This window comes from Homo sapiens, chromosome 15 (genome assembly GCF_000001405.40).
Source record: "Homo sapiens chromosome 15, GRCh38.p14 Primary Assembly".
Lineage (NCBI taxonomy): Eukaryota > Metazoa > Chordata > Mammalia > Primates > Hominidae > Homo > Homo sapiens.
The window spans coordinates 64,591,939-64,607,224 of record NC_000015.10 but is presented as its reverse complement, the minus strand read 5'-3'; the positions used below and the strand labels follow the sequence as shown (position 1 = coordinate 64,607,224).

The window sequence follows — 15,286 nt, the reverse complement described above, 5'->3', positions numbered from 1 at the left end:
AATTCAGTAAATGATAGTTCTATTATTTATTTATTTTTTTTACTTTATTTATTTATTTTTTACTTTATTTATTTATTTTTTTTATGGAGTGTCACTCTTATTGCCCAGGCTGAAGTGCAGTGGCGCGATCTCAGCTTACTGCAACCTCCGCCTCCCGAGTTCAAGCGATTCTCCTGCCTCAGCCTCCCGAGTAGCTGGGATTACAGGCATGTGCCACCACGCCTGGCTAATTTTGTATTTCTAATAGAGACGGGGTTTCTCCATGTTGATCAGGCTGGTCTCAAACTCCCAACCTCAGGGTGATCCGCCAGCCTCGGCCTCCCAAAGTGCTGGGATTACAGGCATGAGCCACCACGCCCAGCCCATGCCTGGCTAATTTTTGTATTTGGAGACAGGGTTTCACCATGTTGGCCAGACTGATCTCGAACTCCTGACCTCAGGTGATCCTCCTGCCTCGGCCTCCCAAAGTGCTGGTATTACTGATGTAACCGTTTTAAACTATAAATGCTGATCTTGGCAGAAGTGGTAGCTCATGCCTATAATCCCAGCTCTTTGGTAGGCCAAGGTTGGAGGACTGCTTGAACTCAGGAATTTGAGGCTAGCCTGGGGAACACAGTGAGATCCTGTTTCTATAAAAAGTTTTTCTGTTTTTTTTTTTTTTTTTTTGAGATGGAGTCTTGCTCTGTTGCCCAGGCTGGAGTGCAGTGGCATGGTCTCGGCTCACTGCAACCTCTGCCTCCCGGTTCAAGCGATTCTTGTGCCTCAGCCTCCCAAGTAGCTGGGATTACAGGCGCCTGCTACTATGCCCAACTAAATTTTTGTATTTTTAGTAGAGACGGGGTTTCACCATGTTGGCCAAAATGATCTTGAACTCCTGCGCTTGCCTCAGCCTCCCAAAGTGCTGAGATTACAGGCATGAGCCACCGCGCCCGGCCTACAGAAAGTTTTAACATTAGCCAGGCATGGTGGCGGGTCCTTGCAGACCCGTAAGGCTGAGGCAGGAGGACTGCTTGAGCCCAGGAGGTTGAGGCTGCAGTGAGCCATGACTGTGCCACTGCACTCCAGCCTGGGTGACAGAGTGAGACTCTATCCCCAAAATAAATATATAAATAAATACATTTAAAATGCTAATCCTGCTAAAAGACAGACTGGTTGAAATCTCAGCTCTAAGGCCAGGCGCGGTGGCTCACACCTGTAATCCCAGCACTTTGGGAGGCCGAGGCGGGTGGATCACGAGGTCAGGAGATCGAGACCATCCTGGCTAATACAGTGAAACCCCGTCTCTACTAAAAATACAAAAAAAAAAAAAAAAAAAAAAAAAAGATTAGCCGGGCGTGGTGGCAGGCGCCTGTAATCCCAGCTATCCAGGAGACTGAGGCAGGAGAATCGCTTGAACCTGGGAGTCGGAGGTTGCAGTGAGCCGAGATCGCGCCACTGCACTCAAGCCTGGGCGACAGAGCGAGACTCCGTCTCAAAAAAAAAAAAAAAAGAAAGAAAAAGAAAAAAAAATCTCAGCTCTATTATTTAACAGCTGGTTAACCACTAATAACATTATGCAATCTTTCTGAGCCTCAGTTTCCTCTTCTGCAAAATAAAACCATCAAAGTTACCTATATTTCATAAGGTCATTGTAATGATTAACTGAATGTAAAGTGTTCAGTGTACAGTGCCTAGCTATATACAGTAAAAGTTCAAAAAATATTAGACAATAATAATGGTAATGGTAGTATCTTGTTAACTTAACTCCACCTTTCTAGTGTCTTGCAACATTGTTAATCTCTATTCAGATTTCCAGGCTTGAGATAACCACCTGTAGTGGTTCATGGAGATACAGTTATGGCTTTTTATCATGCTTTCCCTCCCTTCTTCTAGCAGGGGAATCTCTATTACCTTTGGGAAATACATTCCTTCACCTCACTGCAGTATAGGAGTGGGCAGATCTACCAAAACTACATGAAACAGGTTATATACAGGTTATACTGTTTCTTTCTTCCTTTGGTACCTTAAGCTAGAAGGACTAATAAAATCTGAAGCTGCGAGAGGCCATTTTGCCAGACTCACAAAGAAAACTTCCCTAAGAATAAAGCCAAATTAGGCCGGGCACGGTGGCTTATGCCTGTAATCCCAGCACTTTGGTAGGCTGAGGTGGGCGGATCACGAGGTCAGGAGATCAAGACCATCCTGGCTAACACAGTGAAACCCTGTCTCTACTGAAAATACAAAAAATTAGCCGGGCGTGGTGGCGGGCACCTGGAATCCCAGCTACTCAGGAGGCTGAGGCAGGAGAATGGCGTGAAGGTGGGAGGTGGAGTTTGCAGTGAGCCAAGATCATGCCACTGCACTCCAGCCTGGGCGATAGAGCGAGACTCCATCTCAAAAAATAAATAAATAAATAAATGAATAAATAACTAAATAAATTAAATTAAATAAAGCCAAATTAGGGGAAAGCAGAATGGAGGTAAGCAAAGACAGAATCCTGATGGGATTATTTGAAACCCTGCCTAAACTAATAAACTCCATTCCTGGGAATCTATAAATTCTTTGTTTGCTTAAACTAGCTTGAGCCAGATTTCTATCATAACTGAAAAAGTCCTGACCACTACATTACCCACAAATTTATATGCATACATTTTATTTAGTCACTGATGTTATAATACAAATGCTGAACAAGAATGGACCAAAGGCAAGAGTCCTGTGGTATACCACCTCTATCCTAGCTGACAAACATCTAGTCATCTATAATCTTTAAATATAGCTCTTCAGTCAGCTATAAAATCACCCAACTGTATCACTATCCAGTCCACATTTCATCAACATGTCATCAAGAATATCATAAAAGGCTTTTTCAAATACCTTGAAGAAATCAAGGCACTCCAATCTACCCACCTAACAACTCTATTGGGGGAAAAAGGGGAGAGAGAGGAAGTAGTTTAGCAAGCCTTGCTTTAGAACTTAATTTGGTTCCTAGTAAGCATTCTTTTTCTGGATTCCTTTCAGCGACATTAAATACTTACTATGGTGTAACCATTATACTATACTAAGTTAGAAATATAATATGATCCCTGTCCCAAGGTTGGGTGAGGTAAACAAATGTGAACAAGTAATTAAAGTAATGTCATAAAGAATGCAAAAGAGGTAAGTATAAAAGGAGCAGAATCATTTGTGTCTACCTGGGGGAGAGGCAGGTGACATTTCAGCCTAATCTTTTTTTTTTTTTTTTTTTTTTTGAGACGGAGTCTCACTCTGTCTCCCAGGCTGGACTGTAGTGGTGTGATCTCGGCTTACTGCAACCTTTACCTCCCGGGTTCAAGCAATTCTCTGTCTCAGCCTCCCGAGTAGCTGGGATTACAGGTGCCCGCCAGCATGCCTGGCTATTTTTTTTTATTTTTAGTAAAGATGGGTTTCACCATCTTGGCCAGGCTGGTCTCAAACTCCCGACCTCATGATCCACCTGCCTCGGCCTCCCAAAGTGCTGGGATTACAGGCGTGAGCCACCACGCTCCGCCTCAGCTAAATCTTAAGGGATAAATTCAACAGAGGAACAAGAAAAGAGTTGATTATTTTAGTCAGGTGCAATAGAGGCCACAATAGTTTGGCATAAAGGGGTTGGAGGGAGTGGTGGGAGATTACTTGTCATGATAAAGAAAGGCACTGTGGGCCAGGTGCAGTGGCTCACGCCTGTAATCCCAGTACTTTGGGAGGCCGAAGCAGGCAGATCACCTGAGGTCAGGAGTTTGAGACTAGCCTGGGCGACATGGAGAAACCCAATCTCTACTAAAAATATAAAAATTAGCCAGGTGTGGTGGGAGCCTGTAATCCCAGCTACTTCTGGGGGCTGAGGCAGAAGAATTGCTTGAACCTGGGAGGTGGAGGTTGCAGTGAGCCAAGATCATGCCACTGCACTCCAGCCTGGGTGACAAGAGCAAGACTCTATCTCAAAAAAAAAAAAAAAAATAGGACTCAGTGACTGACTCAAGTCAAGGAGGTAAGAAAAATCTGGGCTGACTTCAAGATTTCTGACGCCATTATCTCAGGAGATGCAAGAACACAACAGTAGCAACAGCAACAATGGCAAATTATTGGTGGAATAAAAGCGAGAAAGCAAGTTCAACTTTAGGTATGAGTTTTAAATAGGCAACTGGATGCAAAGGATGGGAACTCAGAAGAAAAGTCAGGGCAGTGCCGGGCACGGCAGCTCACGCCTGTAATCCCAGCACTTTGGGAGACCAAGGTGGGCAGATCACAAGGTCAGGAGATCGAGACCATCCTGGCTAACACAGTGAAACCCCGTCTCTACTAAAAATACAAAAAAAAAAAAAAAAAAAAAAAAAAAAATTAGCCCAGAGTGGTGGCAGGCACCTGTAGTCCCAGCTACTCGGGAGGCTGAGTCAGGAGAATGGCGTGAACCCAGGAGGCAGAGCTTGCAGTGAGCCGAGATCACGCCACTGCACTCCAGCCTGGGTGACAGAGCAAGACTCCGTCTCAAAAAAAAAAAAAAAAAAAAAAAAGAAAGAAAAAAGAAAAGTCAGGGCAGTAGTTAATAGAAGTCATGAGTCATGAGCTTGCTGGGTAAGACAGCCTGAAGAGACTGGAGAGAAAAAAGAAGGCAATCTGAGAGAACCCAAGGAACATCAACATTTAAATGAGTAAATCCAGGAAGAAAAGACCACAAAGAAGTCTGAAAATAATAATCATCATAACGATAAAAGCAAACTTTAATTTATTGCTTCCTGTGTGTGTCCCAGCACTTTTCAAAGCATTTTATGTGCATTTCACTTATTCCTTAAAACTACCCTCTGGGGTAATTACTACTAGTAACCTGCTTTTAAAGATGAATTATCAAGGCTAGAGGGGCTAGATAACTAACCTAGCCAAGGTTACTACTAAGTGATGACACTGGGATTCAGGCTCAGACAATTTGGTGCCAGAACCCATACAGTACTAAAGAATTAAGAACCAAAACTGAACACTGTCATAAGAAGTCAAGGGGAAATGAAGTTTAAAGAAGAAAATGGGCTAGTGTTAAATAAACTTAGCAAGAAGTTCTAGTTGCAGAAAAAAGTAGGGCCCAAAAGCTAAACTGTACTGGGTAAAGGAAAGCATGATGAGATGAAGGGAAGATAATTAGAATTTATTGTATGCCTACTGTGTGCCAGGAGTTCTACATGTTATCTTATTAAATCTCATAACACTCCTTTGAAGTAAATGATAGCTTTTTTGATAGAAAATAAACAGAGCTGCAGGAAGGTTAACTGACTTGCCTGCAATTACCTAGTTATTAAGTGACAGGGTCAGGATTTGAACCAATGTATGTCTGACTTTGAAGCTTATTCTCTTTTCCACTATACTATGCTACTGCAAAGAAGCTTAGAAGGCCAAGGAAGGAGAGAACAAGTAGTTCACAAGTGATTTGTTTATATCCTGTTCTAGGATTTTGCTGAAGATCACTGTTAAGCACCACGTATGGTCTGCAATTTTGAAAATTTGAACGTTTGCCTATCTGTAGTCTTCTGGTATGCTCCCATTTAGCAGAATACTCTAGACAATAGGATCACTGTGTGAAAATTCTTCTCAAATATGATTAATTTGGACTTAAATGTTTGAGCTCAATAAAACTCAAGGTGCTATGTCAGACAGAAAAGAGGGTACTTATTATTTAGTAGTCCTCTGCTTAAGCACATTCATCTTTTGTAAAAAGGACAATGAAAGGTTGTTCAATAATTTTATTTATTTTTAGATCTTGATTTGCACATTAATTTTGGTAAATCCTTAGGTATGAGTCTTAGTTCTACCCTCATTAGCTCTATTACCTTCCTCAAGTGATTTAAACTTTCCACATGAGTGTGTCATCATCTGTAAGATGGGGATTTAACTATCTTACCTGGCTGTTAGGAATAGAAGAGATGAGACCCGTAGACCACTTAGCATACTGTCCACTTCAGTTCATGCTCAGTAAATGCAATAACAATTTATTTGTCTCCTTCCTCAGCCTCATCGTCCATCACTGCTCTCCTCCCACTTTATGCTCTAGGTTTCATGGGAAGAAAGGGCTTTATTGTAAAATAAAATTATTTTACATAAAAAATTAATGGCAATGTTCAACTAGAGTGGTGGCATCAGGAACAAGAGGGCCAAATCACAGGACTTGGCAACCTGTTGGGTAAGGAAGAGGCATAACACAGAGGACTCAGAGATTTGCAGTGTGGGGAACAAATGGGAGAAGGTGATGGCTGAACTGCATAAGTTGCATCATAAAATGGCTCTGATTTTTCAGTACAAATATACTCTGAAGCAGAACTGAAATCATAAAGCAGTCAAGCCTTGATAAACTAAATTTCGCTCTACAACAACTCCCTAGAGCAAACCTCTTCTAAAACAGACCAACAAAACCCAAAATACCAAATAACAAAGACTATATAAATTTAGAATTTTGTAGAACATACTTAACATATAGAGCTTATAAAAATTAAGAGAGGCCATTAATTTTTCTTTTTTTTCTTTCTTTCCCTTCCTTTCTTCCTTCCTCCCTCCCTCCCTCCCTCTTCTCCCGCCCCCACCCCCGCCATCCCTGCTTTCTTTCTTTCTTTCAGAGATGGGATCTTGCTCTGTTACCCAAGCTGGGGTACAGTGGCACAATCTTGGCTCACTGCAAACTCTGCCTCCCGGGTTTAAGTGATTCTTGTGCCTCAGCCTTCGAGGAGCTGGGACTACAGGCGTGCTGCCACCACACCTGGCTAATTTTTCTGTTTTTTTTTTTCTTTTTTTTTTTTTTTTTGAGACACAGCCTCGCACTGTCGCCCAGGCTGGAGTGCAGTGGCGCATTCTCTGCTCACTGCAACCTCCGACTCCAGGGTTCATGCCATTCTCCTGCCTCAGCCTCCTGAGTAGCTGGGACTACAGGTGCCCGCCACCATGCTCAGCTAATTTTTTGTATTTTTAGTAGAGACAGGGTTTCACCGTGTTAGCCAGGATGGTCTCGATCTCCTGACCTCGTGATCCGCCAGCCTTGGCCTCCCAAAGTGCTGGGATTATAGGCGTGAGCCACCTCACCTGGCTAATTTTTCTATTTTTTAGAGATGGGGTTTCGCTGTGTTGGCCAGGCTCGTCTTGAACTCCTGGACTTATCTGCCCACCTTGGCCTCCCAAACTGTTGGGACCACAGGCATGAGCCACCGTGCCTGGCCACGAAGTTTCATTTTAGATTAGATTAATTGGCAAACAAATAATCATAACAGAAGTGAACAAAGGACTGCAAGTATCCTGCCCAGGGAATAACTGCCAGAGGGAATAGGGATGACTCAATGCTGGAGTGGACCTAAAGAATAAGTAGTAGTTTCCCAAGAAAAGAAGAAAGCATATTCCAGGCAGAAGGAACAGCCTCTTCAAAGGCACACAGGCATGAACAAACACAATGTATTTAAAGAACAACAAGCTGCTTGGTTTGGTTAAAGAGTACAGGGAGAGTTAAATTGGGACTTAACCTTGCAGGTATTAAGAAGCCACTGAGGAATGAAAGAAAGGGTATGATGTTATTGTATCTGTATATCCAAAGGTAAAATTAATAGAAGGAGGGGAGTAAACTAGAGAGATTGAAAAGGAGGGCTCCTAGGAATAAAAACATAAGTAAGAATGATCAGAAGTAGGGGGATAAAGGGAAGAACCCAAGAGACATTCAGGACCTTTAAGCAATTTGACTTTGCAAGGCATCAGACATGTAGGTAATCAGTAAAGGAATTAGGTATGATTAGAATTTCTGATTAAGATGGCTGAGAGATGATTTACTGCACAAATATTTACTGAGCAACTGATACATGCCAGGCACCAGTCTAGGCACTGAGAATACAGCTATGAACAAACAGACAAACATCTCAGTCTTTGGAGCTTAAATCTGAGTGAATGACAGTCCATCACTGAAAGAAAAAGAAAAAAAACAGGTTTGGTTTTGGTTTGGAGGGAGGGTGCAGAGATTAATGCAATTAGGTGTTTTTAAAATTTTTTACTTTTTTGTTTGATATCTTCTCAAAAACCAAAAAAAAAAAAAAAAAAAAAAAAAAAACCACCACAAAATAACTTTTTTTTTTACTTTGCTCAGTTGCCAGCACTACAGGAAAGAGAAGCCTGGAAGTACATTATGGGAAAAGAAGTAGATAGGTCTTCAGTGTAAAATCTGAAGGGGTCATGTGAGTATTTTTAAGGATTCAATAATATACATAAACACAAATAAAAACACAGTATATTTCCCATCTATTTGGCAAAGATGAGAGAGTTGAACATATCCCAGTTGGTAAGAGTATGTAAAAACAATAGGGACTTTTATGCAGTATTGGTTGGTGCCTTCTCTAGAGGGCAGTTTGGCAATATGTATCAAAATATAAAATGCACATGTTCTTTTGTCCCAAAATTCAATTTCTAGGATTTGTATCAAGAAGATAACAGGATATATATATATATATATATATATATATATATATATATATATATACACACACAAAGATGTATGATGGACAGTTTTCTTCAATGTTGTTTTTAATAGCCAAACCAAAAAATAACCACAAAACCAGAAACAATCTATAGGTCCATCATAGCATAGATCCCTATCTACATCAATGACATATCTACAACATATTTTTTAGTGAATTAAAGGAAAAAGTATGATGGAGCATGTACTATATTGGCCCATTAATGTTAAATTTAACTCTACTTTTTGTTTGAGAAGTGTTAGAAAATTAAAAAATTAAAGATAAATAAAAATAAACTGATCTATACATAAGTATATACAACTCATAAAATGCGTAGATCAGCAGATAGAGGCTGGATGTGGTGTCTCATGCCTGTAGTCCCAGCACTTTTGGAGGTTGAAGCAGGTGGATCACTTGAGGCCAGGAGTCTGAGACCAGCATGGACAACATGGTGAAAACCTGTCTCTATCAAAAATACAAAAAATTAGCCAGGCGTGGTGGTGCATACCTGTAATCCCAGGTATTTGGGTGGCTGAGGCACAAGAATCGCTTGAACCCAGGAGGCAGAGTTTGCAGTGAGCTGAGACCGTGCCACTGCACTCCAGCCTGGGTGACAGAGCGAGACTATCTCAAAACAAAACAAAGCAGATAGAATTAGAGGTTTAGATCTGGAAGGATGTTCTAGCCATCATGTCTATAGTAATATTCTAGATGATTTTTACTTTCTCTTATGTTTTTTGGCATTTAATTTTTCATTACATTGATAATTTATTTTTCTAGTTTAAAATGCTCTTTTTATTTTGAAAGAAAAGGAAGGAATATTTATATACATAGTGAAGGCTTACTATAAGGGTAGGGTAGGTAAGGGAAGAGATTGAGAATAGTGTGACATATAAGTAGATGGGGGAGGCAGAAGGGTAAGGACATTAAGTCAGAAGATCCACTGCACAGGTCACTGGGTGGTCCTGTGAGCTGGGGATGGGGCAGTATCTCTGTGACCTTCCTAGAGCAGATAGATATTCATAACCTAAAGATAGCCTGTATTCATTTGATTCTGGTTGTCTAGAACCAAGCAGCATCTTCCACATTTATGCAAATATGCAAGATCTTTGTTGAGAAATAAACAACAATATCAAACCCCTCTCTGTGGCAACCAGAATCCTATCTGGAACAGGGCCAGAAAAAGCCATGTTTTCAGCACTTCAGAGAAAACTGCCGCTGCTGCTTATCAAATTAAAATGCAAAGCAGATCACTCCAGTGTCATTGGGAACTGTCAGAAAGGGATTATGGTTCCCACCCCAAGGATGCAGGTCAGCTAAACAATACCCATCTTCCTGTGCTGAGAAGGAGGGAGAAGGAGGAGAAAGATTAGGTCTGTTTCCAAATAGCAGTCCCTCCTGCTTGTTACCGTGGTAACCTCCTTTCCCTGAGCTGCTCTCATTTGTCTCTCTCTGCCTGACCTTCATGTTGCTTTGACAGTAACTGAGGAGGAAAAGTGCCCGTCTGCCAGCTAAGCACTCAAGCTGAGGGCACTGAGCAAGAAAAAGAGGCACTCAAAGTCCCTCTCATTCTAGACTCTAAACTGTGACCTTAGAGTGATTAGAGTCCTGAAAGAGGTTTCTGGTGGCCCTTGTCATTCCATCCTTCCTCCCCTGTGCTCAGGGCCATCTCATTTCTTGGATATACCCTTTAAGTGTCAGGAATCTGGTCAGAGTCAAGTGGGTAGGTGAGAAGTCACAGAGAAGAGAAAAAACAAGGCACAACAAGCTGAAGAACAGAGATAATAAAATATTAATTCAAAACTGCCTAAGACAACTATCAGCATAGCAGTTAAGTACAGCTTTTAGTTTCCCTTTCTCTTCAGGATTTGTGCCGTATTTTCAGTCAGTAGAGGTGTAAGGGCAATTAAGGTACTTGGGGCAGGGTTGGTGAAAGGGTACAAATAGTGCTTTTTAATGTTTTTCAAGCCTAGGATAACAGAACCCAACCATTTAACAAATAATTATTGAGTACTTCTTATGTATGGCTCCTATGCTATACACACTGAGTATAGGTGGTAAACGAAAGGGACTGGTAAGTAAATACAAATTAGATATAAATTAGAAACTGCTATTAGGAGACAAATAGGTCATGTGATAAGAGAACAATGAGAAGGGAGCTACCTTGGGTAATCAGAGATGGCATCTCTAAGGCTGGATTTAAACTGAGGCCCAAAAGATGAGAAGGAGCCATCCATGTGAAGAGCCAAGGGATAAGCACTATAGGCAGAGGGAACAGCATATGCAAACTCCTAAGGCAAGAAAGAGCTTGGCATAGAGCACGGTGGCTCACGCCTGTAATCTCAGCACTTTGGGAGGCTGAGTTGGCCAGATCACAAGGTCAGGAGTTTGAGACTAGCCTGGACAATATGGTGAAACCCCATCTCTGCTAAAAATACAAAAAAATTAGCCGGGCATGGTGGTGCATGCCTGTAATCCCAGCTACTCTGGAGACTGAGTCAGGAGAAGTGCTTGAACCTGAGAGGCAGAGGGTGCAGTGAGCTGAGATCGCGCCGCTGCACTTTAGCCTGGGGCAACAGAGCGAGACTCCATCTCCAAAAGAAAAAAAGAAAGAGCTTGGCATATATTTATATATTTGAGGTCCATATTTCATTTCATATTACTAGACACACCATGGAAAAACAAGTCTGCTGATTCTAGAAGCTCAAGAGGCTGAGGGAATGGGCAACATTAAAACAGCTAGCCAAATGTTATCCAGTGATTTCACAAATAATTTATTTATTAAGCTACCAATCATGAAGATACTATGGACAGCCCACTTATCCAAAGTCTGAGAAAAATAAGAGCTATGATGGTGGGGTCAGTTTTCTGTCAATAGCAGTCACTGTCATTCCAAATGACACTTACTATGAGAGCAGGACTGATTTCCATTACTTAAATGGCATCCTCAAACCCATTTAAGACTTTGCCCCAAACCTCCTTAAAGTGATTTACACATTGGAGTAATTATCTTACAAAGGAGGTGGGAAGGGGCCAGGTTTTAGTCCCAGTTTTTTACCATTTATCTGTATAACCTTAAGTAAGTCACTTCACTTCTCCAAACTTCAAGACATGAGGTAGTTGGATGTTATGACCCCTAAGGATATTGTATTAGGGCTTGTTCAGCTAGAAATGATAGAAAAACCACTGCCAACCTGACTTAAAAAGAGAATTTAGTGGCTCTCGTGTAACTGAAAAAGTCTATATCACACATGACCTGATGTACGGGCTCAAATGATGTCTTCGGGCCCAATTTCAAACCCTCCCTCTCTTGGTGTTTTCTCTGGCACAGCTGCATTGTCAGCCAGGATCTCCTCCTAGGTGGCAAGGTGGCTGTAGCACTTCGATTTTTTTTTTTTTTTTTTTGAGACGGAATCTTCCTCTGTCGCCCAGGCTGGAGTGCAGTGGCATGATCTCAGCTTACTGCAACCTCTGCCTCCCGGGTTCAAGTGATTCTCCTGCCTCAGCCTCCCAAGTAGCTGGCATTTCAGATGCCCACCACCACGCCCGGCTAATTTTTGGTATTTTTAGTAGAGACGGGGTTTCACCATGTTGGCCAGGGTGGTCTCAAACTCCTGACCTCAGGTGATCCACCTGTCTTAGCCTCCCAAAGTACTGAGATTACAGGCACGAGCCACCGCGCCCGGCCCAAATTTTATAAACTCACAGCTCCAAACCCAGTAGAAAGAGACACATTCTTTTCTTTTTTCTTTTTTTTTTTTTTTGAGACGGAGCCTCGCTCTGTTGCCCAGGCCGGACTGTAAGCTCCACTTCCCGGGTTCACGCCATTCTCCTGCCTCAGCCTCCCGAGTAGCTGGGACTACAGGCACCCGCCACTGCGCCCGGCTAATTTTTTGTATTTTTAGTAGAGACGAGGTTTCACCTTGTTAGCCAGGATGGTCTCGATCTCCTGACCTCATGATCCACCCGCCTTGGCCTCCCAAAGTGCTGGGATTACAGGCGTGAGCCACCGCGCCCGGCCGAGACACATTCTTTTCTAATCACACTAACAAAAATCCTTACGTTCATTCTGATTGGACCAGCTTCTGGAGTTTAAAATCAATGGCCCTCAAAATCTTTACATTTTGTGACCAGGTGCAGTGGCTCATGCCTGTAATCCCAGCACTTTGGGAGGCTGAGGCAGGCAGACTGCTTGAGCTCAGGAGTTAGAGACCAGGCTGGGCAACATGGTGAAACCCGGTCTTTACCAACAATACAAAAAAAAAATTAGCCAGATGTGGTGTTAAGAGCCTGTAGTCCCAGCTACTGAGGTGGCTGAGGTGAGAGGATCACCTGAGCTCAGGAGGTGGAGGTTGCAGTGAGCTGAGATCACACCACTGCACTCCAGCCTGGGTGACAGAGTGAGACCCCGTGTCAAAAAAAAAAAAAAATTTTGAGCATTCTCCAAGTCTTCGCCTTTTCTGGTTTTAATTTAAAACAAACAAACAAAAAAAACAAAACAAAACATAGTGCATATGTAGTTTTTGTCTGCCCAGAATCCCTCTTTTCTGCAGAAAACTGCCTTACTCCCACTCCACGTGTTCCTAGTAAGATAACAATCACAGTGCCCTTTCAGCTACCTGGCTCTGGGAGTGGGTTCAGTATCAACCTATTCTTTCAGTTCTTCTAAAGTAAACTGCTGATGGAATATTTCTTTAGTCTTTCAAGAGGGCAGAGCCATGCTTCTTCCTTAATATGTGTGTTCATGACATAAAACCCTTCAAACCTCTCCTAATCTTAAAAGTATTAAATGTTTACATCTTCCTCAAACATAATACTTGATTGACAGTCAAGGAGTTCCAACACAAAACTATTAATATGGCGAGACAGCAAACACCAACCCTTCTTATCCACTCAATTATACTATGAAATGAGTTATGGTTGAATCATCAGAATGTTCTGGAATGGCTGGGTACAGTGGCTTACACCTGTAATCCCAGCACTGTAGGCAGGTGGATCACTTGAGTCTAGGAGTTTGAGACCAGCCTGGGCAACATGGTGAAACCCTGTACCTACAAAAAATATATAAAACATTAGCCAGGTATGGTGGCACGCACCAGTAGTCCCAGCTACTGGGGAAGCTGAGGTGGGAGGATTACGTGAGTCTGGGAGGCGGAGGTTGCAGTGAGCTGTGATTGCACCACTGCACTCCAGCCTGGGCGAGAGAACAAGACCCTGTCTCAAAAACAAACAAGAGAACATTCTGGATGACTTATTTCTCCTAGAACAACTAGATTTTTCAGACTATGAAAGGTTATCAGAATTTCACTGCATCGTGAACATTTTTGTGTCAATTAGCTATAACTTAAAACATTATTTTTATTTATTTATTTAAGTACAATTTCCATTTTATTTTTCTCCAGAGAATAGCCTGTCTTCAGTCTTTAAGAACTCACCTCCTTACATGGGCTTTGGTGGGGGACGTGGGGCAGCACCCGCAGGTCTAAATCGGGGTGGGGGTGTTCGGTCCTTGCGGGCTTCACGAGATCGATTCCTGACTACTTTGCTGTGAATTGCACAACTCACACAGTAATGCAGCTTCACATACAGCTTGGGAAGCACATAGGCATCGAAGACGCTCGCTTCAGAAATGTCCCTGACTGCTGCGGACTCCACTATGTTTCGAATGACGAATTTCTTAATGGCCTTGTCTTTGGGCACGCATCGGGCACAGTTAGTGCAGCGAATAGGCTGCATGTGGCCGCGGCCCTTTTTGGCACGACCATTGTTCCTTCTTTTCTTTGTCATCTTGGAGGCACGGACCGGAGAGAGCAAAAACATTATTTTTATTTTATTTATTTATGTAATTTTTTGAGACAAGAGTCTTGCTCTGTTGCCCAGGCTGGGGTGCAGTGGCGCGATCCCAGCTCACTGCAACTTTTGCCTCCTAGATTCAAGCAATTCTCCTGCCTCAGCCTCCCAAGCAGCTGGTATTTCAGATGCCGGGCTAATTTTTTTTTTTTTTTTTTTTAAGTAGAAATGGGGTTTCATCATGTTGGCCAGTCTGGTCTTGAACTCCTGACCACAGGTGATCTGCCTGCTTTGGCCTCCCAGAATGCTGGGATTGCGGGCCTCGTGAACCACCATGCCTGGCCAACTTAAAACATAATTTTAAATGCTTGAACAGAATTATTACCATTATTATTTTTTTGAGACAGTCTCACTCTGTCATGCAGGCTGGGGTGTAGTGGCGAGATCCCAGCTCACTGCAGCCTCCACCTTCTGGGTTGAAGCAATTCTCGTGCCTTAGCCTCTCAAGTAGCTAGGATTACAGGCACCTGCCACCAGAGCTGGCTAAATTTTCATATTTTTAGTAGAGATGGGGTTTCACCAAGTTGGCCAGACTGGTCTCAAATTCCTGGCCCCAAGTGATCCAACTGCCTTGGCCTCCCAAAGTGCTGGGATTATAGGCGTGAGCCACCATGCCCAGCTGAATAGAATTATTTTGAACAAACCAACCACGATTCATTTAACCAATTAACTATAGATGGATATTTAGGTTGTCCTAATTTTCACTTGTATAAACAAGGCTGAGAGAAATATCTTTTTTTTTTTTTTCTTTGAGGCAGGGTCTTCCCTCTGCTGACAGGCTGGAGTGCAGTGATGTAATCATGGCTCACTACAGCCTTGACCCCCAGAGCTCCAGTGATCCAGTGATCTATCTCAGTCTGCCAAGTAGCTGAGACCACAGGCACATTCCACCAGCTGATTAAAAAAAGGCCGGGTGTGGTGGCTGACACTCGCAATCCCAGCACTTTGGGAGGCCAAGGCGGGCGGATCACCTGAGG

The 15,286-nt window shown here is 42.7% G+C and overlaps 1 protein-coding gene, 1 long non-coding RNA gene and 1 pseudogene across 6 annotated transcripts in view, besides 3 other annotated features; 1 reads left to right on the top strand and 2 right to left on the bottom strand.

Annotated features, from left to right (window-relative positions):
• Positions 1–15,286, bottom strand: part of ZNF609 (zinc finger protein 609) — a 226,491-nt gene that overhangs the window by 78,844 nt on the left and 132,361 nt on the right. The window lies entirely within an intron of this gene.
• The window catches only part of LOC101930091 (uncharacterized), a 92,612-nt gene that overhangs the window by 27,488 nt on the left and 49,838 nt on the right, over positions 1–15,286 (top strand). The window contains exon 4 of the long non-coding RNA XR_007064678.1: positions 8,093–8,180. This is a non-coding gene — a long non-coding RNA (uncharacterized LOC101930091). The remainder of the gene's footprint in view (positions 1–8,092; positions 8,181–15,286) is intronic.
• Positions 3,092–3,591: an enhancer, noted in NCBI's record as "H3K27ac hESC enhancer chr15:64895833-64896332 (GRCh37/hg19 assembly coordinates)". NCBI's record gives its function as "activates a minimal SCP1, AML or CMV promoter by ChIP-STARR-seq in naive H9 embryonic stem cells {active_cell/tissue: H9 hESC(naive)}" and the evidence as "EXISTENCE:reporter gene assay evidence [ECO:0000049][PMID:30033119]".
• Positions 7,669–7,869: a silencer, noted in NCBI's record as "peak2369 fragment used in MPRA reporter construct". NCBI's record gives its function as "represses an SCP1 promoter by STARR-seq MPRAs in K562 erythroleukemia cells {active_cell/tissue: K562}" and the evidence as "EXISTENCE:reporter gene assay evidence [ECO:0000049][PMID:32103011]".
• Positions 10,195–10,244: an enhancer, noted in NCBI's record as "active region_9574". NCBI's record gives its function as "activates an Ori minimal core promoter by ATAC-STARR-seq in GM12878 lymphoblastoid cells {active_cell/tissue: GM12878}" and the evidence as "EXISTENCE:reporter gene assay evidence [ECO:0000049][PMID:35858748]".
• RPS26P50 (ribosomal protein S26 pseudogene 50) lies at positions 13,830–14,270 on the bottom strand (annotated as a pseudogene).